We start from the raw sequence: 27,587 nt of genomic DNA, 5'->3' as shown, positions 1-27,587 counted from the left end.
CTTCAGGATAGGAAAGTGTAAAGTCCTAGACTAGAGGCCACAGGGCCAAATTCCACAGCAGACGTAGCTTGGCCCACACAGGCGTCTTAAGGTTTTAGGATTCATTTCCAACATTTTTAAATCAGGAGATTGCAGTAAGACTCTGGATTTTCAGCCTTACTTTTAAAAATGAACGGCGTGGCAACATTTGGCCTCAGTGGGCTGGAGCGCAGGTGTGGTCATACACCGGGTAGCACATGTTCAGTTGCCCGTGGTCTCAACCACTCACTGCAGCCAAGGTCAGTTAGTACATACCAGCCTGACTATAGCTTCTGTAAGTATTTTTCTTATAAAAATTTTCATGGTACAGAAAAGTACCGAGATTAACTAATAAACACGTCTCCACTTCCCAGTTTTAACAAATCTTTACAATCGCTGTATTCATTTCACATCCGTTAAGTCATAATATGTTACAGATACGTTGGAAGTCCTTTTTGACCCTCCCTAGTCCCGTTCTCCTCCTTTCCCCTGTTGGTATGTATGCATCTCATCCCACCCAAATTTTCAAACTTGCACTATATATGTATATATCCACAAACAGAAGAGAGTATTGTTTGTTGTGTCTTAAATAGTCTCTTAGGGTATGTACATCTGTCTTGCCCCTGGGAACTCGCCGTGTTGCTGCTGTAGCTCTTTGGCATTCGTTTTCTATATGATTTCGTCTTACACATTTATTCATTCTGCCATCGATGGACACGTAGGTGGATTGCCATTTGAGGTTTATACAATTATGGAGTGAATGTCGTTTTCTGGTTTTCTTGGGCACATGTGTAAGAAACTGTATCCCTAGAAGTGGAATAAGGCATAGGTTATACATAACTTGAGCTTTACTCCAAAGGGGTTACCTGTAGATAGCATCTCACCAGTACCGTGTGAGAACATTTCTCCCATCATGGCCAAATGTGGCTTAGTCACATATTTTTAGTGTTGTCAGTCTGATAGATGTGAAAGGGCACGTCCTCATTTGGTTTTTAAATTCCCCTGCTCTGTGGTGAGGTTGAATATTTTCAGATGTTTGGGGGATGTATTAGTCTGTTGTCACATTGCAAAGAACTACCTGAGACTGGATAATGTAAAAGAGAAGAGGCTTCATTGGCACACAATTCTGCAGGCTGTACAGGAAGCACAGCTGGAGAGGCCTCAGGAAACTTACACTCATGGCAGAAGGCAAAAGAGAAGTAGGCACTTCCTACCTGGCTGGAGCAGGAGGAAGAGAGAGAAGTGGGAGGTGGTTCACACTTCTAAGCAACCAGATCTCCTGAGAACTTACTCAGTATCATGAGAACAGCAAAGGGGAAATCCTCCCTATGATCCAATCACCTCCCACCAGGCCCCTCCTCCAACACGAGGAATTACAATTTAGCATGAGGTTTGGGTGAGGGCCCAGAGCCAACCCATATCGGGAGATATTTATATTTCTTCTTAAGTGATTTTTTTCTTTTATTGTTTGCCCATTATCTGATTAGGCAATTTGTCTTCTCTTAGTTGATTTGTATGTTCAGCTTTACAAAAGAAAAGAATGCTGACACAGGCTACGACACAGATGCACATTGAGGACATTACGCTAAGTGAAAACCCGTCACAGAAGGACAATACTGTATGATTCCGCTTATATAAGGCATCTAGAGTAGTGAATTCACAGAAACAGAAAGTAGCATGGTGGTTGCCAGGAGCTAGGGAGAGCAGGAAATAGGGAGTTATTGTTTAGTGGGCACCGAGTTTCAGTGTAGGAAGATGAAAAGCTTTAGAGATGGATGGGGTTGGTGTCTATACAATAATTTAAATATACTTAATGTCACTGAACTGTACAGCTTACAAATGGATTTGATGGTAAATTTCATTATGTATATTTTACCACGACAAAAAAACACACATAATGAAATACCACTTCACACCTACTAGCATGACTATAATCAAAAAAGACATAATAGGAAGTCTGTGTGATGATGGTGATAATCTAGAACCTGCAAGAACAAGCCAGCAACCCCAAGAGGACTCACAGACCCACTGAAGGAAGCAGACTGCTCCTGCAGGACCCAGGAGACACTCCAAATACTGTGAGTGCCCAAACTGTGGAAGTGGGAAAGGGAGAGCATCCTCTCCCAAACATACACCCCCACTGGAGAAAATGAAGGTCTGTTTTCGGGGGAAGTTTCCATCCTTACCTGGAGCTGAGTTAGTTTACAGAGTCGAGTGAAATACAGAAGTAGAGGAAGCAGCGGGAAAGGCCCTGGGAGCTCCCTGGGTCCCCAAGCAGGCCATTCCTGCCTGGCACCACAGGGATCCATCGGGAGGGAGGCCAGAGGAGAGGCTGAACACCACAGGGAGAAGGAAGTCTCCAGCTGAACTATGTAATAATTTGAACCGGGCAAGAAGCCTCCTGGCCAGAACTTGGGGGGAGGGCACAAATCCAGTGTGCAGATTCCACAGGTGGGGGCAGAAACAAGCCCTTTTCTTTCACAGCTGGGAGGCAGATAGCCTGGGGCAAGTTCTCAAGCCTAGCTTGCCCACTGCCTGGAAACAGACTCGGGGCTGTTGAGGGGGCACGTTGCGAGTGAGACCAGCCCTTTGGATTGCGTGGGAGCTGGGTGAGGCCTGTGACTGCCGGCTTTCCCCCACTTCCCTGACAACCTGCATGACTCAGCAGAGGCAGCCATAACCCTCCTAGGTACACAACTCCATTGACCTGGGAACCTCAACCCCATCCCCCATAGCAGCCACAGCAAGACCAGCCCAAGGAGAGTCTGAGCTCAGACGCGTCCACCCCTGCCCACACTTGAATGGGCCTTCCCTATCCACCCTGGTAACTGAAGACAAATGGCATATAATCTTGAGGGTTCTAGGGCCCCACCTGCCACTGATCCCTCTCCATACTACCATAGCTGGTGCTCTCTGGAAAGCATCACCTCCTGGCAGGAGGCCAACCAGCACAAAAATAGAATACTAAACCACCAAAGCTAAGAACCCTCACAGAGTCCATTTCACTCCCCTGCCACCTACACTGGAACAGGTGCTGGTATCTACAGCTGAGAGACCCAGAGATGGTTCACATCACAGGACTCTGTGCAGACAAGCCTCAATACCATCCTGGAGCCGGGTAGACTTGCTGGGTGGCTAGACCCAGAAGAGAGACAGCAATCACTTCAGTTCGGCTCACAGGAAGCCATATCCATAGGAAAAGGGGCAGAGTACTCCATCAAGGGAACACCCCATGGGACAAAAGAATCTGAACAACAGCCTTCAGCCCTAGACCTTTCCTTTGACAGAGTCTGCCCAAATGAGAAGGAACTAGAAAACCAACTCTGGTAATATGACAAAACAAGTCTCTTTAGTACCCCCAAAAAACTCACACTTGTTCACCAGCAATGGATCCAAACCAAGATGAAATCTCTGATTTACCTGAAAAAATATTCAGGAGGTTAATTATTAAGCTAATAAAGGAGGCACCAGGGAAAGGCAAAGCCCACTGCAAGGAAATCCAAAAAACGATACAAGAAGTGAAGGGAGAAATATTCAAGGAAATAGATAGCATAAAGAAAAAACAATCAAAACTTCAGGAAACATTGGACACACTTACAGAAATGCAAAATCCTCTGGAAAGTCTCAGCAATAGGATTGAACTAGTAGAAGAAAGTAATTCTCAGAGCTCGAAGACAGGTCTTTGAATTAACCCAATCCAACAAAGACAAGAATGAGAAAGTATGAACAAAGCCTCCAAGAAGTCTGGGATTATGTTAAACAACCAAACCTAAGAATAATCAGTGTTCCTGAGGAAGAAGAGAAATCTAAAAGTTTGGAAAATATATTTGAGGGAATAATGGAGGAATACTTCGCCAGCCTTGCTAGAGACCTAGACATCCAAATACAAGAAGCACAAGGAACACGTGGGAAATGCATCGCAAAAAGATCATCACTTAGGCACATTGTCATCAGGTAATCTAAAGTTAAGATGAAGGAAAGAATCTTAAGAGCTGTGAGACAGAAGCACCAGGTAACCCATAAAAGAAAACCTATCATATTAACAGCAGATTTCTCAGCAGAAAACCTACAAGCTAGAAGAGATTGGGGCCCTATCTTCAGCCTCCTCAAACAAAACAATTATCAGCCAAGTATTTTGTTTCCAGCAAAAGTAAGCATCATATATGAAGGAAAGATACAGTCTTTTTCAGACAAACAAATGCTGAGAGAATTCGCCACTACCAAGCCACCACTACAAGGACTGCTCAAAGGAGCTCTAAATCTTGAAACAAATTCCGGAAACACATCAAAACAGAACCTCTTTAAAGCATAAATCACACAGGACCTTTAAAACAAAAATACAAGTTAAAAAACAAAAAGAAAAACAAAAAAAAGCAAGGTACACAGGCAACAAATAGCATGACAAATGCAACGGTACCTCACATCCCAATAGGAACATTGAATGTAAATGGCCTAAATGCTCCACTGAAAAGATACAGAACCACAGAATGGGTAAGAACTCACCAACCAACCATCTGCTACCTTCAGGAGACTCACATAAACTAAAGTAAAGGGGTGGAAAAAGGCAATTCATGCAAATAGACAGCAAAAGTGAGCAGGGGTAGCTATTCTCGTATCAGACGAAAAAAACTTTAAAGCAGCCGCAGTTAAAAGAGACAAAGTGAGACATCATATAATGGTAAAAGGTCTTGTCCAACAGGAAAATATCACAATCCTAAACATATATGCACCTAACACTGGAGCTTCCAAATATATAAAACAATTACTAATAGACCTAAGAAATGAGATAGAGAGCAACACAATAATAGTGGGGGACTTCAGTACTCCACTGATAGCACTAGACAGTTCATCAAAACAGAAAGTCAACAAAGAAATAATAGATTTAAGCTATACCTTGGAACAAATGGACTTAAAAGATATATACAGAAGATTTCATCCAACAACTGCAGAATACACATTCTATTCAACAGCTTGTGGAACTTTCTCCAAGATAGACCGTATGGTAGGCCATAAAATGAGCCTCAATAAATTTAAGAAAATTGAAATTATATCAGGCACTCTCTCAGACCACAGTAGAATAAAACTGGAAATCAACTCCAAAAGGAACCTTCAAAATCATGCAAATACGTGGAAATTAAATAACCTGCTCCCGAATGAGCATCGGGTCAAAAAGGAAATGAAGATGGAAATTTAAAAATTCTTAGAACTGAACGACAGTAATGACACAACCTGTCAAAATCTCTGGAATACAGCAAAGGCAGTGATAAGAGGAAAGTTCTCAGCCCTAAACATCTACATCAGAAAGACTGAAAGAGCACAGACTGATATTCTAAGGTCACACCTCAAGGAACTAGAGAAACAAGAACAAGCCCAGCAAAAGAAAGGAAATAACCAAGATCAGAGCAGAACTAAATGAAATTGAATTTAAAAAAAGATAAACAAAAAGCTGGTTCTTTGAAAAGATAAATAAAATTGGTAGACCTTTAGCAAGAGTAACCAAGAAAAGAAGAGAGAAAATCCAAATAACCTCATTAAGAAATAAAATAGGAGATATTACAACTGATACCAGTGAAATGTGAAAGATTATTCAAGGCTACTGTGAACATCTTTATGTACATAAACTAGAAAACCTAGAAGAGATAGATAAATTCTTGGAAAAATACAACCCTTCTAGCTTAAATCAGGAAGAATTGCATACCCTGAACAGACCAATAACAAGCAGCGAGATTGAAATGGTAATTTAAAAGTTACCAACAAAAAAAAATCCAGGACCAGACAGATTCACAGCAGAATTCTACCAGACATTCAAAGAAGAATTGGTGCCATTCCTTGTGACACTATTCCACAAAATAGAGAAAGAAAGAACCCTCCCTCATTCATTCTATGAAGCCAGCATCACCCTAATGCCAAAACCAGGAAAGGACATAACCAAAAAAGAAAACTACAGACCGATATCCTTCATGAACATAGATTCTAAAATCCTTAACAAAATACAAGTTAACTGAATCCAGCAACATATCAAAAAGATAATCTACCATGATCAAGTGGATTTCATACCAGGGATGCAGGGATGATTTAATATACACAAGTCAATAAATGTGATACACCACATAAATAGAATTTAAAACAAAAATCACATGATCATCTCAATAGATGCAGAGAAAGCATTTGACAAAATCCCGCATCGCTTTATGATTAAAACTTTCAGCAAAACCGGCATGCGAGGGACATACCTCAATGTAGTAAAAGCCATCTATGACAAACCCACAGCCAACACAGTACTGATGGGGAAAAGTTGAAAGCTTTCTGTCTGAGAACTGGAACAAGACAAGGATGCCCACTCTCACTACTCCTCTTCAACATAGTACTGGAAGTCCTATCCAGAGCAATCAGACAAGAGAAAGAAATAAAGGGCATCCAAATTGGTAAAGAGGAAGTCAAACTGTGACTGTTGGCTGACAGTATGGTCGTTTACCTAGAAAACCCTAAAGACTCCTCCAGAAAGCTCCTAGAACTGATCAAAGAATTCAGCAAAGTTTCCAGAAACAAGATTAATGTACACAAATTGGTAGCTCTACCATATACCAAAAGCGACCAAGCAGAGAATCAAATCAAGAACTCATCCCCTTTTACAATAGCTGCAAAAAAATAAAATGCTTAGGAATATACCTAACCAAGAAGGCAAAAGACCTTTACAAGGAAAACTATAAAACACCGCTGAAAGAAATCATAGATGACACAAACAAATGGAAACACATCCCATGCTCACATATGGGTAGAATCAATATTGTGAAAATGACCATACTGCCAAAAGCAATCTACAAATTCAATGCAATTCCCATCAAAATACTGCTATCATTCTTCACAGAGTTAGAAAAAAACAATTCTAAAATTCATATGGAACCAAAAAAGAGCCTGCATAGCCAAAGCAAGACTAAGCAAAAAGAACAAATCTGGAGGCATCACACTACCTGATTTCAAACTATACTATAAGGCCGTAGTCACCAAAACAGCATGGTACTGGTATAAAAATAGGCACATAGATCAATGGAACAGAATAGAGAACCCAGAATAAACCCAAATACTTACAGCCAACTGATCTTCGACAAAGCAAACAAAAACATAAAGTGGGGAAAGGACACCCTTTTCAGCAAATGGTGCTGGGATAATTGGCTAGACACATGTAGGAGAATGAAACTGGATCTTCATCTCTCACCTAATAACAGAAATCAACTCAAGACGGATTAAGGACTTAAATCTAAGACCTGAAACTATAAAAATTCTAGAAGATAACGTTGGAAAAACCCTTCTAGAAATTGGCTTAGGCAAGGATTTCATAACCAAGAACTAAAAAGCAACCATAATAAAAACAAAGATAAATAGTTGGGACTTAATTAAACTAAAGAGCTTCTGCATGGTGAAAGGAACAGCAGAGTAAACAGACAACCCACAGAGTGGGAGAAAATCTTCACGATGTATACATTTGACAAAGGACTAATATCCAAAATCTACAATGAACTCAAAACAATAAGAATAAAAACAATTGCATCAAACAGTGGTCAAAGGACATGAATAGACAGTTCTCAAAAGAAGATATACAAAAGGCCAACAAACATATGAAAACAATGCTCAGCATCACTAATGATCAGGGAAATGCAAATCAAAACCACAATGCGATACCCCATTACTACTGCAAGAATGACCATAACCAAAAAATCAAAAAACAGTAGATGTTGACATGGATGCCGTGATCAGGGAACACTTCTACACTGCTGATGGGACTGTAAACTAGTACAGCCACTATGGAAAACAGTGTATAGGTTCCTTAAAGAACTGAAAGTAGAACTACCATTTGGCCCAGCAATCCCACCACTGGGTATGTACCCACAGGAAAAGAAGTCATTATACAAGAAAGATACTTGCATGTTTGTAGCAGCACAATTCACAATTGCAAAATCTTGGAACCTACCCAAATGCCCATCAGTCAACAAGTGGATAAAGAGACTGTGGTATATTTATATGATGGAATACTACTTGGCCATAAACAAGAACGAATTAATGGCATTTGCAGCAACCTGAGTGAGATTGGAGACTGTGCCTCAGTTTCCTCACCTATAGAATGGATCTTTATAGGATCAATGCAAGGATCAAATAAGTTGAATCATATAAAGTGCTTAGAACATTGCCTGGCACATAGGAAGCTCTGAAAAAGGCTTAGCTGGTATAATAACTAGAGAATCTATTTTAGAAATACTTTCCCTTAAACCATATTTTATAATAGCAAAGTGTTGAAAATCTTCCTGCCTGCCTTTGTTCTCTCCTTTCCTTCCTTCCTTCTTTTCCTTTCCTCATTCCTCCCTTTCTTCTTTCCTTTCCTCCTTCCTTCCCTCCCTTCTGTCCTTACTGCCTTTCCTTCTCTCCCTCCCGTCCCTCCTCCTTTCCTTCCCTCCCTCCCTCCCATCCCTCCTTTCCTTCCCTCCCCTCCCTCCTCCTTTACTTCCCTCCCTTCTTCCTTCCTTCCTTTCTGTCTCTTTCCCCAGCAAATGAGAACTAACCATCATGGCCCAAGAATTTTTTCAGGAAAACATGGAAAGACCCTGGCTGATCACCCATCTCGATTCTTGGGGTTGAACTAATTAACTGAAGCCTCAAAATCAGTGTTTTTTATACAGGATTTAAGGCTGAAAGTGGTTTCTCAGTAGTCCTCACTGTTAGCAAAAGACAACGTTGTCTGCGTCGCGGGGCCTCTCTGCACGTAGAACCGCCGGCTTCCGGAGACGCGCACATTCACAGATGGTGCCGTGCTCCTCACAGTGTGCTGTAGATTTTCATTTCCTCTTTCAAAAAGCAAATATGGGAATAATATTACTTTTCAGGGAAATGTATATGAGAACTCATAATTCTCGAGTTTTAAATGGAGAAAGGCTGCATGGAAGCCTCACGTGTGCCTGTAAAGCGTCCCTCTGGGTCCCCTGGGAGAACATTGCAGCCCAGCTAGTAAAGTCCCAGTTGTACCTCCTCACCTCACTCCTTTGCAGACATCTGTTCAATAAAAGCAGCCACAGGTCTTCAGGACTATGCATGGCACATGTTAAAGCTGTGTTTTGGTTGTTCTCGTAACAGAGTTGCTGGCTGTCATCTGCCAGGAGCTGTGAGAGGGACCCAGTCTCAGGCAGACAGGAACCTCTGACGCTGGTCTTTTTTGGGAAGGGCCTGGGAGCATGGCCTCTTGGCTGGCCAGCTCCTGCCACAGCCTCTCACCCATAGGCTCGCAGCACACGTGGAGAACAGTGTTGCAGGTGCACTGGGAAGGGCCTTGCCTCCCACAGCAAAGCAGAACAGAGTGCTTGCTTTCTCCCTGGTCCTGCACCACGGAGAGAAGGAAGGGATGTGCATGCCTGGAGCATCCCCTGTGCAGGCACCTCCTGATTTCCCCATGCCCAATATATTTACTTATCATTCAGTCCTCACACACACGCCCACTGCTCTTGCCCCTGATTTATGGGTGAGGAACCCTGTATTAGTCTGTTCTCATGCTGCTAATAAAGACATACCCGAGAGTGGGCAATTTATAAAGGAAAGAGGTTTAATGGACTCGCAGTTGCACGTGGCAGGGGAGGCCTCACAGTTATGGCAGAAGCCAAAAGAGAACAAAGGCACATCTTACATGGTGGCAGACAAGAAGGCATGTGCCGGGGAACTGCCCTTTATAAAACCATCAGATCTCAAGACTTATTCGCTATCTTGAGAACAGCACGGGAAAAAAACCACCCTCATGATTCAGTTACCTCCCACCAGGTCCCTCCCACGACACATGGGAATTATAGGAGCTACAATTCAAGATGAGATTCAGGTGAGGACACAGCCAAACCATATCAAACTCAAAGCTCAGAGCAGGTAAATCCAAAATAGGATTCAGTACTCAGAGGCCTTCAGCTGTGAGTGTTCTGTCCCTCATGTCTAAATCATGTAAATCTGTTGAAAGTTAGAAAAAAAAATTAAGATGAATGTGACCATCTCTGTTTTGGTTCGGACCGTCCACATAGACTGTCCATTCCAGAGGGCTTTGGGGGAACAGCAACTCCTCTTAACAAGACCGATGTCTGGATGGAGAGTAACGGGCACAACAGTTGTAATAAGCTGGGGTTGATCGGGCCTGTGGAGTGTCAGGCCTGGGCTGAGTGCTCGGTAGAGGTCACCTGAGTCACGCCTCCAACAAGCCTGTGACATGAGAGCAACATCTCACAAAGAAGGAAACTGAGGCTTGAGCACAGACTCCCCCAAGGTGGCACAGCTGGGGAGTCAGTGGGGTGAGGACTTGAGTCTGGGTCTGTCCAGGTCCTTCTGAGAATTTGAGAAGGTCTGACTTCAGTATGTGGGCACCTGGAACTTTCAGGGTCATGATGAGGCTAGTCAGGTGCACCCGTGCTGGAAGTAGGATTATATGAATAAAAAAAGAAAGCCCCTGAACTGAGGCACAGAGGACCCACCTACATAGGAATAGGGGAGCCCGAGGCCAGTCTTGCTGCCTCTCCAAGTTGTTTTCTCCCTCTGTAAAGGGAAACCAGCAGGTCTCATGCCTCTTCCTCTGGGAGTTACAGTGGGCATGAGAATGAGACAGCGGGTAGAAAAGGACAGGGTATGCCAGGCGCAGTGGCTCACATCTCTAATCCTAGCACTTTGGGAGGCTGAGAAGGGAGGATCGCTTGATCCCAGGAGTTCAAGACCAGGCTAGGCAATATAGTGAGACCTTGTCTCTACAGAAAATCAAAAAATTAGCCGGGCATGGTGACACACGCCTGTCGTCCCAGCTATGCAGTAGGCTGAGGTAGAAGGATCACTTGAGCCCCAAGAGGTCGAGGCTGCAGTGAGCCAAGATTGCACCACTGCACTCTACACTGAGTGACAGAGTGAGATCCAGTCTCAGAAACAAACGAACAAACAAAAACGGCACAAACTGGAGGGGTGACCACATGTGTGTTAGAGTCACAGGGCTGACCCACCAGGGGTAGGTGTGGGCCTGTTTTTTCAGGCTGGCTCAGGGCAGACAATAAATGAGAAGTGAGAACTCTGATCCATCTCGCTTTCCAGATCAGATGCCCAAGTCTCCCTGGGACAGGAAGGGACGAGATCACTCTTCAGGCTGGGCTCCTTGTCAGGATGCCATAATCCACCAGCCCAGGCTCGTCACCAGACCCCAAGGGGAGATGGCAGTCCAGCGCTGGCCAAGGCCAAGCCTTCCCCTCAGGTGTCCTCCTGGGCCCCCGGGCCCTGGCCTCCTTCCCCTTGGCTGCCCCATCTTGGATATTGCCTCTGATGAGTCACGGGCTCTACTGTTTGGCCCACGATGACTCTTCCATGAGGCACCACCTGTGGGCAGGGTCCCATTCCCATGTGTCTGCAGCAGCCTGTTCTCAGTGGCTGCTTCTACCTCTTGGTCACCCTGGGTGCTTCCCCTGGCCACAGAAATCCCCTTGTCCTCTCCTCTTCCTCACACAGTACACTAGGCCAGAGGCTCACAGGCCCCCACACACCCCCTCCGACTCCCAGGCACCTCTGGGCAGGCCTGGTTTCCAAAGTTCAGTGCCCCTCTAAGAGGGAGGGTCTGCAGAGCCCACTCAGCAAGCATCAGACCACGTTTCTTAAGAGGCATTGGGACCACCCTCTCCTTCACCCATCCATCCCTGCTTCCCCCTGAGGCCTCTTCTGGGCCAGCAGCCTTTCCCTGCTGCCAAATCCAAAGATGCCTTTCAGGCCCCAGCACTACAGGTGCAGTCCCTTCCCGGCATCCCTGACCTGGCGGTCACCCCCTCTGCATCTCTTCTGGAGGCTGTCATTCCCCCCAGGTGCTTGCACTCCCCAAGCCCCTGCCCTCCAAGCTGTCTTCTCTGTGTCTGCGCTGTCTGGATGATCCCTTCTTACCTTTGGTTTCCCCCTTGACCTCCTTTGCTCATGACTTTCCAGCCCTATGTCTCCAACCTGACCGCACCCCAAGCTGCAGACTGCACCTGCCGACCTGCCTGACACTGCACCCGGTAGCCCCTCAACCCGGCCTCTAAAGCAGCGCCACCCTTCCACCGCAGGCCAGCTCCTCCCCGGGTGCTCCTTCTCAGTGGAGGTACCACCAACATTCTTGGGCTCAGAGTCCTGAGCCTGACATTTCTTGCCTTCTTTCTCTCTTTGACCCCACATACCAAAGACGCTGTCATCTCCACCCTTTAAGAGTCTTCCAACCAGGGAGGCTGAGGCAGGAGAATCGGTTGAACCCAGGAGGCAAAGGTTGCAGTGAGTCGAGATCGTGCCATTGCACTCCAGCCTGGGTGACAACAGCGAAACTCCATCTCCGTCTCAAAAAAAAAAAAAAGTCTTCTACCAAGGCATGTTGTCCCCTTGCCACCACTGCCTTGGGGAAAGCCATCATCTTGCCCTCTGGCACATGATTCCTGAGTGTACCAAAGGCCACCTCTCTCCCACCCCAGCCTTAAGGTGTGGACCAGACATCCCAGACTTGTCAGTTGCACCACAGTCCCTCCACCTCCTGGACATTGTGAGGGCAGGCTCCCTCCGTCTGAATGCTGAGCCCCGCTTATTTGGTTGACCAGCTCCACTTTGACCTTCAGGACCCAACCCAAGCTCCAGTTCCTTCACAGCACTTGTCAGATGTTAAAGAAATTGTCTGTTTTTATGTTTCTCCCACCCCTGAGGACCACACACTTGCCTGAGGTTTGTGAAGGTGGGGAAACTGAGTCAGGTGTCCCAGCCCTTGGTTCAGGACTCAACGTGAGGTTGACACTCACGTATCTGGGAACAAAGAGGCTGAGACTGAGCGGGTTGACCGTGCCAGTGGCTGCTTCCTTTGGCCTGGCCTGCATTTTCTGGAGCTTGGGCGGTGTTTGCCACCCTTTTTATGCTGCCATGTTGTATGATTGACTTCTTGATGCCCTGCCTGGAATTGGCCTGTCTCTAACAGATGCTCAGAGAATCACATACAGGCACCTGTTTCCTTACTTTGATTAACTGAGTGAATGTGGGGAACATTCCTAGCACAGAGATTGGCACAGATTAGACACTCAGTCGATACCAGCGCCTTCTTTTGCGCCCATTCTGAGGAGGCACAAAGTTAACACTGGACCCCTGGACAAACCACTTGTTAGCCCAGATTGTGCTGGAATACAACATCTCATGCTGTTTTTTGATAATTTAAAGTTGTTGAAAATAACGACCTACCAGGGCTCTCTCTTTGGCTACCTGCGTTTGAGATTCCCTCTATATTCAACATAAAATAACTGTGTCAGAAAAGTGTGACCCTGATGATGGCATTGTTTCTTTGCAACAACTGTCACATCAGCAGACCTCACAAGGCCTTTACCTAGTTTAAATCTCAGCCAAATCAAGATGTAAATAGAAATTGAATTTTAAATAGGAGCTGAGTTTTTTCAGAATTGGGAATGCAGTGAGTGTGTGGTTGGCAGAATAACGGCCCCACAGGTGTCCACATTCTAATCCGTAGAACCTGAGAATATGTGGCCTCCTGTGTGGCCAAGAGGAGTTAAGGTTGCAGATGGTGTTAAGGTTGTGGTATGGATTGAATTGTGTCCTCTTCAAAATTCTTTTATTGAAGTCCTAACCCCCAGTATCTCAGAATGTGACCTTATTTGGAAACAGGGTCGTGGCAGATGTAATTAGGTAAAATGATATCATACTGAAGTAGGGTTGGGCCCTGATCTGATATGACAGGTATCCTTATAAGAAGAGGGTCATGTAAGGACACAGACACACAGAGGACACTGTGGGAAGATGCAGGCTGGGGCTGGGGCTGGGGCTGGGGCTGGAGTGATGCTTCTGCATGCCAGGGAACACCAAGGCTTCCCAGCCGCCACCAGAACCTAGGAGAGAGACACAGAACACGTTCTCCTTCAGGGCCCTTGGGAGGACCAGCCACACTGACACCATGGTTTTGGACTTCTGGCCTCCAAAACTGTGAGGGAATAGATTCCTGTTGTTTTAAGCCACCCAATTCGTGATACTTTTATCGACAATCCTAGCAAACTAATACAGGTTGGTAGTCAGTTGTGATGCTTTTATTAGCAGTCCTTTTATCGGCAAATTTTAAGGCCAACTGATTATCGGGTTGGTAATCAGCTGGCCTTAAAGTAGATTATTCTGGATTATCTGGGTGAGTCTGGGGTCATCACAAGGGTCCTTCCAGGTAGGAGATGAGGCAGAAGAGAAGGTCGGAGTGACACAGTGTGAGAAACACTCCCCCACCACTGCTGGTCTTGAGGATGGAGGAAGACGCCCCAAGCCAAGGAGTGGGGCAGCGTGGAGCTGGAAAAGAAGGAATGGGGCAGCATGGAGCTGGAAAAGGCAGGAGACAGATTCTTCCCTGGAGTCTCCAGGAGGAACCAGCCCTCTCAGCACCCTGGTTTTAGATTTGAGAGACTCATGCCAGACTTCTGACCTCCAGAACTGTAAGATAATAAATCTGTGTTATTTTGAGCCATTAAGTTGGGGGTAATTTGTTACAGTAGCACTAAGAATACAGGGTCTCATATGGTCACTGAGCTGCCTGAGGCATCTCATTAGGATGATTTAACTTGAAGCATATGCAGAGGAACTGAGTCAGTGCTAGGCAGGAAAGGAAGCAGAGTCGCAGGAGGATCAGGAGAAGGGGTGCCCTGAATTAGAGAAGCGTTAACTGTGACTTCCTAAAGAATTACAGTTTCAGCCAGGCGTAGTGGCTCATGCCTGTAATCCCAGCACTTTGGGAGGCCGAGGCAGGCAGATCACTTGATGCCAGGAGTTCAAGACCAGCCTGGCATACATGCCAAAACTCCATCTCTACTAAAACTTCAAAAATGAGCGGGGTGTGGTTGCTCATGTCTATAATCCCGGCACTTTGGGAGGCCAAGGCGGGCGGATCACTGGAGGTCAGCAGTTCAAGACCAGCCTGGCCAACATGGGAAAACCCCATCTCTACTAAAAATACAAAAATTAGCCAGGTATGGTGGAGCACACCTGTAATGCCAGCTACTCAGGAGGCTGAGGCACCAGAATCCCTTGAACTCGGGAGGTGGAGGCTGCAGTGCGCCGAGATTGCGCCATTGCACTCCAGCCTGGGCAACAGAGTGAGACTCCACTCAAAAAAAAAAAAAAAAAAAAAAGAATTACAGTATCATGCTTTTAAGAAGAGCAGCTACCTCAAACTTGGCTAATAAATATTGCTGTTAAAGTTTTTTGGGGCTTACTAGTGGAAAAAAATAGGGCTTACAATGTAATTGGAATATAAATTGTTTTACGGAACTACAGTTCCTTTCCCAAATTACTGGATTTAAAGTCAACGTGATTTGACTGTGGTGGTGAGTTGCACAGTGTCGTTCAAGTGTCGTAGGTGGGCTCCTGGAGCCAGGGGGGGTTGGGTGAAATGATTTCTTTATGCCACCAAAAAAAGAAGTTTTAAGGAAGTCATTTTCTGCCCATACCTCATTGAGATTTGTCAAGATCAGAAGCAAAAAGTCTAGCTGAAAAACAGCTAAAATACGCTGCGGAGTGCTTGTACACAAAGTCCACACAGCAACCCCCGTAGACGGCTCCTCCTGCACTGCAGGTGTGAACGTGTGCACCCCGGGCACAGCGCTCTGCTCTCCCCTTCGGCTGCCTGCGGCTTAAGAAACACTTCGCTTCTGCGACTTTTCTTCACTGATTTACAACTTGCTTCTAACCACCCACTGACATCATTCTTTTAATTGTGGTAAAATACACATAAAATTTACCATCTTACCATTTGTAAATGTACAGTTCAGTGGCAGTAAGTACATTCACCTTGTGCAGCCATCACCACCATCCAAACACAGAACTTTTCTATCTTCTTCAGCTGAAGGTCTGCCCCCATTAAACACTCACTCCCTATTCCCCTTCCCCTCAGCTCCTGGCAACCATCATTCTACTTTGTCTCTATAAATCTGACTGCTCCAGGGATCTCACATAAGTGGAATTGCACAGGATTTCTCCTTTGGTTATTGGCTTCTTTCTCTTGGCATGAAGCTCATCCATGTTGTAGCATGCATCAGAATCTCCTTTTTGACAACTAAATAATATTCCCTTGTATGCATATACTACACTTTATTCATCCTTTGATGGACACTTGCATCGTTTCCACCTTTTGGCTATTGTGAATAATGCTGCTGTGAACACAGGTGTGCAAACATCTTACCATACCGTTTTTTAATCTATCCACATAGCCATTCAGTGGCTATGCATCATTCTAACACTGGATGATAGAGTTTAAAACTGAGTAAAACAGGATACAGTGGCCTCGCTTACTCGCGGCCAACCCTGCTGACTGAGACTCAGCTCAGACATCACTTCCCCAACCCTGAGGCAGAGCAAGTCGCCTCCCTGGGCCCCCACAGCCCCGTGTTCACCTCCTCTGCAGCAGTGAGCCTCGTATACTGCTGATCCGGCTGGTTATGTGGCTCCTGTGGGCTGAGCCGTATTTCTGACTATACATCTAGAACCCCAGGTGGAGCTGGGAAGTAGAAGGAAGGGCGTGGAGCAAGGGCTGTGCCCTGAGCTGCCTGGTGTGGGACCCATGGTCGTGAGTGCATTTGTGCTCCTCTCTTATGGGGAGACTCGAGGTCCCCCATGGTGGGGTTGGGAGGCTGTGCTCTCGGCAGGTGGAGCTTGTTTTTGAATTCCAGGGGCCCCAGGACATGAGAGTTTATCAGTCCATCTGGCGATGCCCATTGCACCATAGGAGGGAGGCAGGGGCAGCCCCAGAGGAGGGGTGAATGGCAGAGCATCCCTGGCTGAGGAGCAGGGCGGCACCCGTGGGCTGCACCTACACCTCATGTGCTGGGGGCTGTGTAACCCTCCCCCTGTGAGGCTCTGGGCTGTGACAAGGAGGGAGATTGTAAGAACTCCGCGGGAAAGGGCTGGACAGCAGGAAGGAGGGATGCATGAGGTATGTTCCATTCTGGCACAAGAAGCAAAGGAGAGAAGAGGCAGGACAGCCAGCCGCCCCTCACTGCTCTGCAGGAATCTCCCATGTGAAAACAGTGCCCCTCCCAGGGCCATTTCTCCAAATTGCTCAAATCAAGAAATCACTTTTGTGGGAAGCCTCTTAAATCTACAAAACTTTTTGAATGACATTTTTGCTTTTTCCACGTTCCTCTTGACTCTGTTTCCCCGCAGATCTGGCTTTTTAAGTCAGCGAGGTGACGGCGGATGTAGAGACATCAGGGCAGGACTGCTGAGCCTCGCCCAGCTCTTCCCTCGTCCCCCCAGTGTGTCCTGGATGTGGCCTCTGTGTCAACCAGAGTCGCTGCTCACGTCCACTAGAGCACCTGCCGTGGTCACGTGCTGGGAATGGCCATGCACCCTGTGGCCTACGGCATGCCAAGTGGCATCCCCATGAGCAAGACAGAGGGGCCCCACTTCTCAGGCTTGGCCCTGGAAGCACAGCACAAGCAAAGGCGGGAGCAGACTCAAAGCCGTTTTCACAGCTGGGGTCAGCACAATAGCGCCAAACAGGTCTCACCCTAAAGCCTGACGTCTTTATTCACAAAGTCAACTGCAAAAGGGCAGGACAAAGGAGATCTTGTGGGAGTCAGTTCATGAGAGACAAAAAGCAGCCCAGGATGGGGAAGTTAATATGTTTAATCTGGCTGCTTAAAAATATAGAAATAGTATCAAGTTGGACAACATTGATGAAGTCAGAGTCTCTATTTTAGAAAAGAAAATCATCACATTCAAATTTCTTTTTCTTTTTTTTTTTTTTTTTTTTTTGGGTTTGGCCTTTTTTTTGAGACTGAGTCTCGCTCTGTCCCCAAGGCTGGCAGGCTGGAGTGCAGTGGTGCAATCTCGGCTCACTACAACCTCTGCCTCCCCGGTCCAGACAGTTCTCTCACCTCAGCCTCCCAAGTAGCTGGGACCACAGATGCACACCACCACGGGGGGCTATTTTTGTATTTTAGTAGAGATGGGGTTTCACCATACCGGCCAGGCTGATCTCGAACTCCTAACCTCAGGAGATCCACCCACCTTGGCCTCCCAAAATGCTGGGATTATAGGTGTGAGCCACTGTGCCCGGCCTAGACTTGATTCTGTGGAGTACTTGTAGGTTCACATCAAAATTGAGAGGAAGGTACAGAGAGATTTCTCACACACTGCCTGCTGCAGGCACGCATGGTCTCCCCGCCAGAGTGCTACATTCGTTACCGCTGAGGGACCTACCCTGACACATCACGACATCATCGTCACCCACATCTATGGTTCATCTTAGGCTTCATTCTCAGTGTTGCACATTTTGTGGGTTTGGACAGATTTATGACATGTTTCCACCGTTATAGCATCATACAAAGCAGTTTCACTGCCCTAAAAATTCTCTGTGCTCCAACCACTTTCCTTCTTTAAAAAAAAAAAAAAAAGGAAAAGAGACCAGTTTATTTTGTGATTGTGAGCAAAGAAAGAAATGACACAGCTACCAATCTCCTATTCTGTGCCTCTTCTTCCCAAGTACAGACATTGTTTTCCTTCAGGAGAGATGTGGCTGATTCTAGATTCAGGGGTAATGGGCATGCCTGGATCATGGCCTTCATCATTCTCACCCTGGGGAGAGCTTTGGGTCCTCTGAAGGCCCAGAAGTCTAGTGAACCTGGCTGATGCTCAGTAAATGTCTGCCCCGCTGAATATTTTCCATATCTCCATCCAAGAGCACCTTCTGGTGTTCTTCCCTCTATTTTCTTGACCATAGCCCCCAGCAGGCATAAGGTCTATGTCCTGGAGCCAATACTTCTACAGTGATGATTCTAGAAACCAGTCTGTTCTGAAAGCTTTCACCATTTCTCAGGAGCAATGAGAGAAATAAGCATACGTTTTTATTCATTTTAAAGATGTCTCCTTTATTTGAGACTATGTCTCTTCTGTATTTTTAGTGTTAAGGTGTATTCTGGGGAGCAGTATGGTTGGGGCCGGGCACAGTGGCTCACACCTGTAATCCCAGCACTTTGGGAGGCTGAGGCAGGTGGATCACTTAAGGTCAGGAGTTCGAGACCAGCCTGACCAACATGGTGAAACCCGTCTCTACTAAAAATACAAAAATTAGTCAGGCGTGGTGGCGCATGGCTGTAAACCCGACTACTCAGGAGGCTGAGGCAGGAAAATCGCTTGAACCTGGGAGGTGGAGGTTGCAATGAGCCGAGATCGTGCCATTGCGCTCCAGCCTGGGTGACAAGAGCGAAACTCCATCTCAAAAAATAAAGAAGATAGTGGCTGTTTTTTAGTATGTGTGTGCTTATTGTCCCTATCCATCACATTCATTCTTGCTGCTTCCAGGCCACATCTGGGCCATGTTGTCCTCTGGAAGAAAAGTCGTGACTGAGTAGAAAATGAATGGGAGGGATTGAACATCTGCCACACAAACTCTTGGCCAAAAGAAGAGAAAACTTAAAGGGGAACAAAAGAACTGTCTTCACATATTTAAGAAGGCCTCTGGGTTACTCCAAAGACCAGAACTAGGAGAAATGAACTAGGAGAAATGTGTAGAATTTAGCTCAATTCTCTTCGTGCTGAGTGTGGCCAGGTGCTGAGATGGGAGGCTCATGGCCACCCTGCAGGAGTTCTCCATCTCCTACCAAGGAGACAATGACAGCAATGATAGCTAAGAGTTACATTTACACGGGCTTCAGGTGTGCCAGACACTGTTGTAAGCAGTTTATGGACAATGTGCCACTTGTCCTCACAACTGCACCCCAAGGGAGTCACTGTGGCTCCCATCCCTGCCATGCGAGCCATGGATCCAAGAAGGGCTTCACTGGAGTTAGGCCCCAGAAGCCTGAGGATAGAGTGATGATTCTGCCAAGAGGATTGGAACTTAGCTCCAGAGGAGGTGCTCTGGGACAAGGAGGGACAACCTGGGGTGGAGGGAGGAGCCCAGGTGGCTCTGTCTTCTCAGCGCCAGAGATGCCGGCGCCACCCCAGTTGGTTCAGACCAGTGCCGTCGTCACTGGGACTGCCGTAGGAGCCTCCTCTCTGGTCTCCCTGCCGCTGCTTCTGCCCACTATAAACTGGTATCCACACCGAGCCAGTGGTCCTCTCAGAGCCGAAAGGAACATGTCACTCCTCTCTCAAAACCCTCCAGTATTCCATCTTATTTGAACAAGAGCCACCAGGGCCAGCCAGGCCCTAGGTATCTCACCCTTCTGCCCCCCAAATCCCATCCTTTCCCCTCGCTCTCCCCTTCCTCACTCCGCCTCCACCCCGCCAGCGTGCCCCTCCACCAGGGCCTTTGCACCCCTGTGACCTCTGCCTTGGAAGCCTTTTCCCACGTAGTCACGGGGCTCACTTCCTCCCAGGCTCTCCTGAGATGTCCACTTCCCAGCGAGGCCTTCCCTGCATCCTGCTGTAAGATAACACCCCCACCCACTCCCTGTTCTGCTCACGCTGCTTGACTTGTCTCTAGAGCACTTGTGACTGTGTGTTACGGTCTCTAATCTCATTTAGTATATTTGTTATAGATGCTATGGTGATATATATGGTTCAGTGGCTATATATGGTCTGCCCCCCTCAGAATGTAAGCTTCAGAGGGCAGGGACTTTGCTTCACTCACTGCTTCCTCATCAGAACCTAGAAGGTGCCTGGCACGTGGGAGGCCCTCGATAAATCTGCAGTGCCTGGATGGGCAGATGAGCCACTCAGCTGGGACCGGAAAGCGAGAGACAGCTGGCACCGTCCAGTACCCGTTCAAAGGATCCTGCCAGTGGGCAAAAGCGGTAGACATTGCTCAACAGTGGGATGGCCCGGCATGGCATGATCAGACTTGGTTTGGGGCGGGATTCAGGACTGTTTTTGACTAATGAGGAGGAACTGAGTGGCTGTCAGACCTGGCAGTGCACAGGTCAAGCTGCTTTGTCAGGTGGCGAACTCTTGGAAGCGAGGAGTTTATGAGGCAGGACAAGAAAGGGCAAAGCCAGTTGGCTCATCCAGAAAGCAAGCAGGGGAGATCCCTTAGTGTTCGCAAAAGGGCACTGGAAGCCCTTTGTGTGTCATGAGGAAGCATGATTCCCAAGCTGCTCAGCTGCTTTCCAGCGCCCTGAGGCCAACAGAGATGCCTAATGCATCGGATCATCAGGCTATCAGGCAGGGACCTGAAGTTTTATTTTTTGTTTTTATTTTTTGGGGGATACAGTCTCACTCTGTCACCCAGGCTGGAGTGCAGTGGCGCGATCTTGGCTCACTGCAACCTCCACCCCCTGGGTTCAAGCGATTCTCCTGCCTCAGCCTCCTGAGTAGCTGGGACTACAGGCGTGCACCACCACGCCTGGATAATTTTGTGTATTTTTAGTAGAGACGGGGTTTCACCATGTTGGCCAGGCTGGTCTCGATCTCCTGACCTCAAGTGATCCACCTGCCTCAGCCTCCCAAAGTGCTGGGATTACAGGCGTCAGCCACCGCCCAGCCTGAGCCGAAGTTTTAGAAGAACACTTTCAGACGCCAACCTCAACAGCCTCTGTCTTCCCATGGCCCACAACGTGCCACTCTCAGGCACCACAGCCATCTCCGGAGGGCCCAGGCTCTGGAAAGCAGGGAGGGCCTAGTTCTGGTTAATCAAGCTGGGACCGGTGTGGGCTGGGGGGTTCTTTGTCAGTGGCTGTATCAATCCCCTATTGCCGCAGCAACAAACAACTGCAACATCTCCATCACTGACAGTAGCGCAGGCGGTAGTGGTGCGGGCTGTCTGTAGGGACATTCCCTGTACTGGGACTGTTCTCCCAGCAGAGGGTAAGAAGTAAAGAGAATCAGAGCCAAACCACATAACCACATTCAGAGCTTCTGCCGGGACGCCGCCAGCATCCTCTTCACTCACACCCTGTCGAAAGAAGCAGGTCCTATGACGACAAGCAGATACGTAATTCCCTACAGGGAGGCCGTGACCAGATAATTCTGTCTGCCGTAGGGGTGTTGGTTGCAGAAAGATGTCTGTGCTGAGGAGACCATCCAACCAGAGGACCACTCAAGTCACTCCCTCTGTGCCGATACTCTGAGTTATGTCCAGGGTTGGCTGAAAAGCTTCCTGAGTCTGCCTCCCTCTCTCCCACCACAGGGCAGCAATTCCAGGATCCGGCCGGAAGGCCCTCCGGAGAGGCTGGCCTCTCACCCAGTCGTTCTCTCTCTCTTTCCTCCCGTCTGGCAGGTGGGTGGCAGGCCCGTGGAGCCCCTGCTCGGCGACCTGTGAGAAAGGCTTCCAGCACCGGGAGGTGACCTGCGTGTACCAGCTGCAGAACGGCACACACGTCGCTACGCGGCCCCTCTACTGCCCGGGCCCCCGGCCGGCGGCAGTGCAGAGCTGTGAAGGCCAGGACTGCCTGTCCATCTGGGAGGCGTCTGAGTGGTCACAGGTGGGTGCCTGGGCTTGCCACCAGGACTCAGCCACAGGGACTCCAACACGGTGCCATGGTATTGGTGACATTCTGGTGCCTCCCAGCCCTCGCTCGCCCCCAGGTCAGCTTGAAGTTGTGTTATAGCTCATGTGTTCTTAATTTCCATCTCAGATAACAGCCTGGCTGCGGAAACATAGATACCATGTCTCTGATGATGTACATGTCAACACCACAGTGAAGGACTGTTTGATCCCATTTCCTATGAAAATTCTCACATCAAGATAGGATAGACAGATACTGACCGACTTTTTAATTCTCCTTTGGGTGTATTTAACTGTGGTGTGCTCAGGCTGGGAAGGTGGTTTCAAAGGTTTGCCTTTAATCCCCCAGCAGTCTTTGTAGATTACGAGAGTCAGATGCCAGGAGGGACAGCTTTTAGTGTGCAAGTTGGAGTTACAAATCTCATGCCATAAAATGTTTTGGAAAGAAGTGGATTAAGCCTTAAGTCTTAACTTTGAAGGTTGGTCCTGGGAGTACAATTTTATCTCTGGTGATGTCATCCTTCAGGGCTTTGCATTGACTTTGTGTTAATGATTTTGACTGTTTGGCTATAAAACTACAAAAAAAAAAATAGCTGAATAAAGGGCAGGCTTCCCTCAGGTCTTCCACCAGCGTAGTCTAGAAAACTCAGAGACGCTCATCCAAGACACTCTTCAGTGTGGAAAATTTTTTAAAGTTCCCTCTATTGCCAAACAGTTGGAATTATTTTGAATAAAAAAGTATTCCGCCCATTTTTAATGAAGGAAAAGTCTGCCATTGGCTGCTCTAAAACAAAGGTTAATTTTCAAACAGATCTTGGCATGTATTTGTTTATAGATCAGGATTTTTAGTCCTACATTTTATGATATTTTAGGAAAAGAGAGTTTGAGATTTTGTTGTTTGATTTTTTTGTCTTTGTCTATGCTTACGTTTGTCAGTTTAACATTAGAGGGATTTTTTTTGGCCCCTTGCTGGAAGGGTTGAGGCAGGTGTTCAGTCCCCTCCCCTTTCCAGTACTCTAGGTGAGCCTTTGGGTTTTAATTGCCTGGCTCTTGATCGAAGTAAGACTTGTGCTTTGATCAGATCAAAACCATAAATTTTCCACTCAGTGGTAAAATCCTGTCTCTACTAAATACAAAAAATTAGCCGGGCATGGTGGCGCATGCCTGTAATCCCAGCTACTTGGGCGGTTGAGGCAGGAGAATTGCTTGAACCTGGGAGGTAGAGGTTGCAGTGAGCCGAGATTGCGCCATTGCACTTCAGCCTGGGCAACAAGAGCGAAACTCTGTCTCAAAAAAAAAAAAAAAAATCCACTCAGACTCTTTTTATGGGGGAAAACAATGCTTCCCCACCAAGTCTGACATCATCAATTATCATTACAGCCCTGAAGATCTCTACGTTTGGAAAATGTGAGACAATGGGAGCAAGATTTAAAGAAATTTCTCTGTGTCTGTATCTATGTGCATACCTAATCCTAATCCCGAACGAGCACCACACCAGTCAGCCTAACTCTGGCTTAGCCCAGGCTTGAGCAAAATGCTTCCTTCTGAACATTTAACCTGGAATCAAATCATTCCCCATGGGAAGCTCGCGAAGCTGGTACTTCTGCCGCTTCCCACGTGCTGAAGTCCCAAAGTGAGACTGTCTTCCGCTGGAAGCAGATGGGTTTCAGTTTCTTAAGGGAGAGTTTTTATTGACGTGGTCGCTTTTATCCAACCAGCTGTGTTGATTGCTCTCACTACCTACTCCCCAGCTTCTTCCCGACTTTATTAGAAGAAGGATCAAATATCCAGAAGGAAGGAAAAGGTAGTGCGTTTCTCCTGTCCTCAGCTTGCAGGCCCCGCCCCTGATGGGAAGCAAAGAGAGAGACCGAAGGGCACCCTCCTAGGCCCCTTTGGAGCTGGAGCCGTCCTCAGCAGCCTGCAGCACTGCTCAGACAAAGGCTTCAGGAGAATGGGTTGCTGGTCAGAGTTTGGTTAAGAAATAGGCTGGACATTCAGAGCTTGAAATTCAAGGGGAGGAGGTGAGCAATGCAAAATAGAGGCCAGGCAAGAGTGAACTTAGGCAGAAATGGTGCATGGGTTCCTGGTTGCAGAGGAGCAAGTTGTGTGGATGCTGGTGCCAGGGGTAGCCCACAAGTCAGACAGTGAGGACAGAGTTGCTGAAATGGTCAGGAAACCTTGCCACACAGAGAAGCAAGGGGTAGCCCTGCAGTGCAGTGCCCCGGGCCTCCTGCCCAAGCTCCTGCATGTAAAGTCCACTGCAATCAGCCTCCTACCCCTGCTCCTGCATGCAAAGCCCACCATGGACGGACCCCTGGCATCCGGGGACCCTTTAAACCAGCTCTACACTCCACACACAGCTACTCTCCCCACTCCCTGCAGGGGACATTGCAGCCAGTTCTGAAGCATGTGCATTTCCAACCAGCCTTAATTAGCCTTGAAAGAAAACCCCATGGGATCTTTAGACAAAGAGCTGAATTGAATTCGTAAGAAAGAGCTGCGAGGCGCAATGGCTCGCACCTGTAATCCCAGCACTTTGGGAGGCCAAGTCGGGTGGATCACGAGTCAGGAGATTGAGACCATCCTGGCTAACATGGTGAAACCCTGTCTCTACTAAAAATACAAAAATTAGCCAGGCATGGTGATGGGCGCCTGTAATCCCAGCTACTCAGGAGGCTGAGGCAGGAGAATCGCTTGAACCCGGGAGGCGGAGGTTGCAGTGAGCCGATATTGCACCACTGCACTCCAGCCTGGGTGACAGAGCGAGACTCCGTCTCAAAATAAAAAATAAAAAAAGAGAAAGCTAGATCATATCTTGGGATAAATGTTAATAACAAATATCAGGAATAACATTTGTCCTTTATGTACCTTTTTTCCAGTGGACACAGTGGGATTTTTTTTTTTTTTTTAAGAGATTGGGGTCTGTATGTTTCCCAGGCTGGTCTTGAACTCCTGGCCTCAAGTGATCCTCCCACCTCAGCCTCCCAAAGTGCTGGGATTATGGGTGTGAACTACTGCATTTGGCCTAGAACTTTTTAAAGTTGAGTTTGTTATAACTCAAGAAAGTCAGTGCTGTCGCCTGCCATATTTGTGGTAAACTGAGCAAGTATGAAACCGCCTTAGCAGACTGCAGCCTCCTGCACACCATCTTTCCAAGTTATATGTTTACGCCTGTGTCAGGGACAGGGCTCCCAGGGCCAACTTGTTTGTGAGTTTTGTCTTCCCGAGGCTGTGGGTCAGCTCGGCCTGGGCTTCCTTCTGCTTTGCTTTTGGAGATGGTAAGTTCTCCTGCCAGCCCGGGCACCGTCCCTCCCCAAGTTCTGTGGTGGGCGTGTCAGGAGCAGGCTCCAGACGCACTCCAGAGTGCCTGTCTGCTGTGTTGACACCCTGTCATGCCCCCTGCCTCTTCGCTCCTTCTTGCTGCTGGGAATCCTGAACTCTTGAGGGCAGGCACATCATTCATCACCCCCAGGCCCTGCCCAGGTCCCATCCCCACTGCCCCTTGCCAGGTCTCCTGCAAGTAAGTAAACTACCACAGGGGCCATGCGTCTGTCACCATTCTTGGTGTCTGCATTCAGACATTCACTGGAGCTCTCTGCAAAGGCTTTCCACCTGCCTCACGAGAAAGTCATCTGTGGCTTTTCCTTCCTTCTGCCGCCTCCTCCTCCTTCTCCCGGCTGGATCGAGGAGTTTGTCCCAGGCTGGTCCAAGCACAGCATGTGCACCTGGAGGCCAGCTGGAAAGATCTGGGGCCTGGGACTCAGCTTTAGGGCCTCACCTTGCTCCGGCTGGCCCCTGTTCCCTGCCCCACTCATGGCTCCATCACACACCTGCCCTTCGAGCTCACGTATTGCCTTGAGCTTTTGGACCCGACAAGTGGCCACTGAATTCCACTCCCCTCATGTGACCTTATGAGTACCCCAGGTTCTTCCCACTCCTGATTCCTAGGTCCCTTCCACAACACTGGCCACTCGGCTGGGGCCCCAGCTGGGACCACGTGCGTAAGACCCTGCAGACCAGGAGCTTTTTGAGGACAGAAGTGTGGGTTTTCATCTTTGTATCATCCCCACACCGCACCTGGCACATTGGAGGGAGTTAATAGCTGTTGATGGACTTGAATCGAATTGGAACTCGGTTAAATATTTGAATGGTGTCTTGCAGTGCTCTGCCAGCTGTGGTAAAGGGGTGTGGAAACGGACCGTGGCGTGCACCAACTCACAAGGGAAATGCGACGCATCCACGAGGCCGAGAGCCGAGGAGGCCTGCGAGGACTACTCAGGCTGCTACGAGTGGAAAACTGGGGACTGGTCTACGGTGAGAGCAGCCTGCTGGCATTTCTCTCCGTGCCGCAGTGCAGGGGGCTCGAGGGTCGGGAACTCAGCTCTTGTGACGGGTCCCAATTCTACGCGGCAGTCCCAGCGTAACTAGGCAAATTCATTTTCCTTCCACCCGCTGCAACTACCCAAGACCCCGTGTGCTTCCTCCCCTGCTTCTCCCACAGGCTGCACCAGCACTGCCCCTTGGGGCTCACTGGGAGAACCCCACTGCTTCACGTGCATGCAGAAGGAACCCGAAACGCAGCCCAAGGCAGGACGCGGGTGCCCTGGATGCCAGGCTTGCCATGCTGTGCGGTGTGCTGGCAGGCCCCAGCCTCCTGCCATGGGGACACTTGGGGCAAACATCACTTCCATTCACTCCCGGGACCCCTGGGCAAGGGCCTGGAGATGCAGGGACAGACAGGGCAGGGGGCCATGGGGTGGTAGCAGGGAGGAGTATCACAGAACCGCCGGGTCAGCACTCCCGAGAGCAAGGGTGAATAAAGGGCCACTGAATGTTTCTCCAGGTAAGAAAATGCTTTGTTGTTTAACTCCTCTTTTATTCATTCATCTGATATATTTGAATGATTCCTGTTTTCTGGGGACCAAGGTGAGCCCCACTGCCACCTGTAAGAACCTTCTAGTGGGTTTTCTAGACTCTTCTCACAAAATCTGTACCACTCCTCCTGTAAGCATAGACCGTGTTTGTCCTTCTGTATGGTCTTAGCAACTGAAAAACTCCTGCTTGCTTCTCCTGATAGCTCTTCCCTCAAAGATTGCCAACTGCTGACCTAGAGCCATTGGTTTTTGCTCAGCCTGCAGAATATCTTAAA

The 27,587-nt window shown here is 47.8% G+C and overlaps 1 protein-coding gene across 11 annotated transcripts in view, besides 9 other annotated features; it reads left to right on the top strand.

The window, feature by feature from the left end:
- Nucleotides 1-27,587, top strand: part of ADAMTS17 (ADAM metallopeptidase with thrombospondin type 1 motif 17) — a 370,539-nt gene that overhangs the window by 322,176 nt on the left and 20,776 nt on the right. For 10 of the 11 annotated variants that reach the window (NM_139057.4, XM_005254872.4, XM_011521312.3 and 7 more), the window contains 2 exons: nucleotides 22,211-22,415; nucleotides 26,600-26,752. In NM_139057.4, the coding sequence (NP_620688.2) occupies nucleotides 22,211-22,415; nucleotides 26,600-26,752 (358 nt within the window). Of the gene's footprint in view, nucleotides 1-22,210; nucleotides 22,416-26,599; nucleotides 26,753-26,939; nucleotides 27,291-27,587 lie in introns of those variants that run through there. The other variant, XM_017021974.2, reaches the window with a different exon arrangement.
- Nucleotides 1,991-3,190: an enhancer, noted in NCBI's record as "MED14-independent group 3 enhancer chr15:100556815-100558014 (GRCh37/hg19 assembly coordinates)". NCBI's record gives its function as "activates an origin of replication core promoter dependent on BRD2, BRD4, P300/CBP and CDK7 cofactors, and independent of MED14, by STARR-seq in HCT116 cells {active_cell/tissue: HCT116}" and the evidence as "EXISTENCE:reporter gene assay evidence [ECO:0000049][PMID:35650434]".
- Nucleotides 2,116-2,636: an enhancer, noted in NCBI's record as "H3K27ac-H3K4me1 hESC enhancer chr15:100557369-100557889 (GRCh37/hg19 assembly coordinates)". NCBI's record gives its function as "activates a minimal SCP1, AML or CMV promoter by ChIP-STARR-seq in primed H9 embryonic stem cells {active_cell/tissue: H9 hESC(primed)}" and the evidence as "EXISTENCE:reporter gene assay evidence [ECO:0000049][PMID:30033119]".
- Nucleotides 2,637-3,159: an enhancer, noted in NCBI's record as "H3K27ac-H3K4me1 hESC enhancer chr15:100556846-100557368 (GRCh37/hg19 assembly coordinates)". NCBI's record gives its function as "activates a minimal SCP1, AML or CMV promoter by ChIP-STARR-seq in primed H9 embryonic stem cells {active_cell/tissue: H9 hESC(primed)}" and the evidence as "EXISTENCE:reporter gene assay evidence [ECO:0000049][PMID:30033119]".
- Nucleotides 17,039-17,887: an enhancer, noted in NCBI's record as "H3K4me1 hESC enhancer chr15:100542118-100542966 (GRCh37/hg19 assembly coordinates)". NCBI's record gives its function as "activates a minimal SCP1, AML or CMV promoter by ChIP-STARR-seq in primed H9 embryonic stem cells {active_cell/tissue: H9 hESC(primed)}" and the evidence as "EXISTENCE:reporter gene assay evidence [ECO:0000049][PMID:30033119]".
- Nucleotides 20,337-20,964: an enhancer, noted in NCBI's record as "H3K4me1 hESC enhancer chr15:100539041-100539668 (GRCh37/hg19 assembly coordinates)". NCBI's record gives its function as "activates a minimal SCP1, AML or CMV promoter by ChIP-STARR-seq in naive H9 embryonic stem cells {active_cell/tissue: H9 hESC(naive)}" and the evidence as "EXISTENCE:reporter gene assay evidence [ECO:0000049][PMID:30033119]".
- Nucleotides 20,965-21,592: an enhancer, noted in NCBI's record as "H3K4me1 hESC enhancer chr15:100538413-100539040 (GRCh37/hg19 assembly coordinates)". NCBI's record gives its function as "activates a minimal SCP1, AML or CMV promoter by ChIP-STARR-seq in naive and primed H9 embryonic stem cells {active_cell/tissue: H9 hESC(naive and primed)}" and the evidence as "EXISTENCE:reporter gene assay evidence [ECO:0000049][PMID:30033119]".
- Nucleotides 21,593-22,220: an enhancer, noted in NCBI's record as "H3K27ac-H3K4me1 hESC enhancer chr15:100537785-100538412 (GRCh37/hg19 assembly coordinates)". NCBI's record gives its function as "activates a minimal SCP1, AML or CMV promoter by ChIP-STARR-seq in naive and primed H9 embryonic stem cells {active_cell/tissue: H9 hESC(naive and primed)}" and the evidence as "EXISTENCE:reporter gene assay evidence [ECO:0000049][PMID:30033119]".
- Nucleotides 26,528-27,041: an enhancer, noted in NCBI's record as "H3K4me1 hESC enhancer chr15:100532964-100533477 (GRCh37/hg19 assembly coordinates)". NCBI's record gives its function as "activates a minimal SCP1, AML or CMV promoter by ChIP-STARR-seq in naive H9 embryonic stem cells {active_cell/tissue: H9 hESC(naive)}" and the evidence as "EXISTENCE:reporter gene assay evidence [ECO:0000049][PMID:30033119]".
- Nucleotides 27,042-27,556: an enhancer, noted in NCBI's record as "H3K4me1 hESC enhancer chr15:100532449-100532963 (GRCh37/hg19 assembly coordinates)". NCBI's record gives its function as "activates a minimal SCP1, AML or CMV promoter by ChIP-STARR-seq in naive H9 embryonic stem cells {active_cell/tissue: H9 hESC(naive)}" and the evidence as "EXISTENCE:reporter gene assay evidence [ECO:0000049][PMID:30033119]".

Source organism: Homo sapiens, chromosome 15, assembly GCF_000001405.40.
Source record: "Homo sapiens chromosome 15, GRCh38.p14 Primary Assembly".
NCBI lineage: Eukaryota > Metazoa > Chordata > Mammalia > Primates > Hominidae > Homo > Homo sapiens.
The sequence above is the reverse complement of the archived record's forward strand: the minus strand, read 5'-3'. Positions and strand labels throughout refer to the sequence as shown.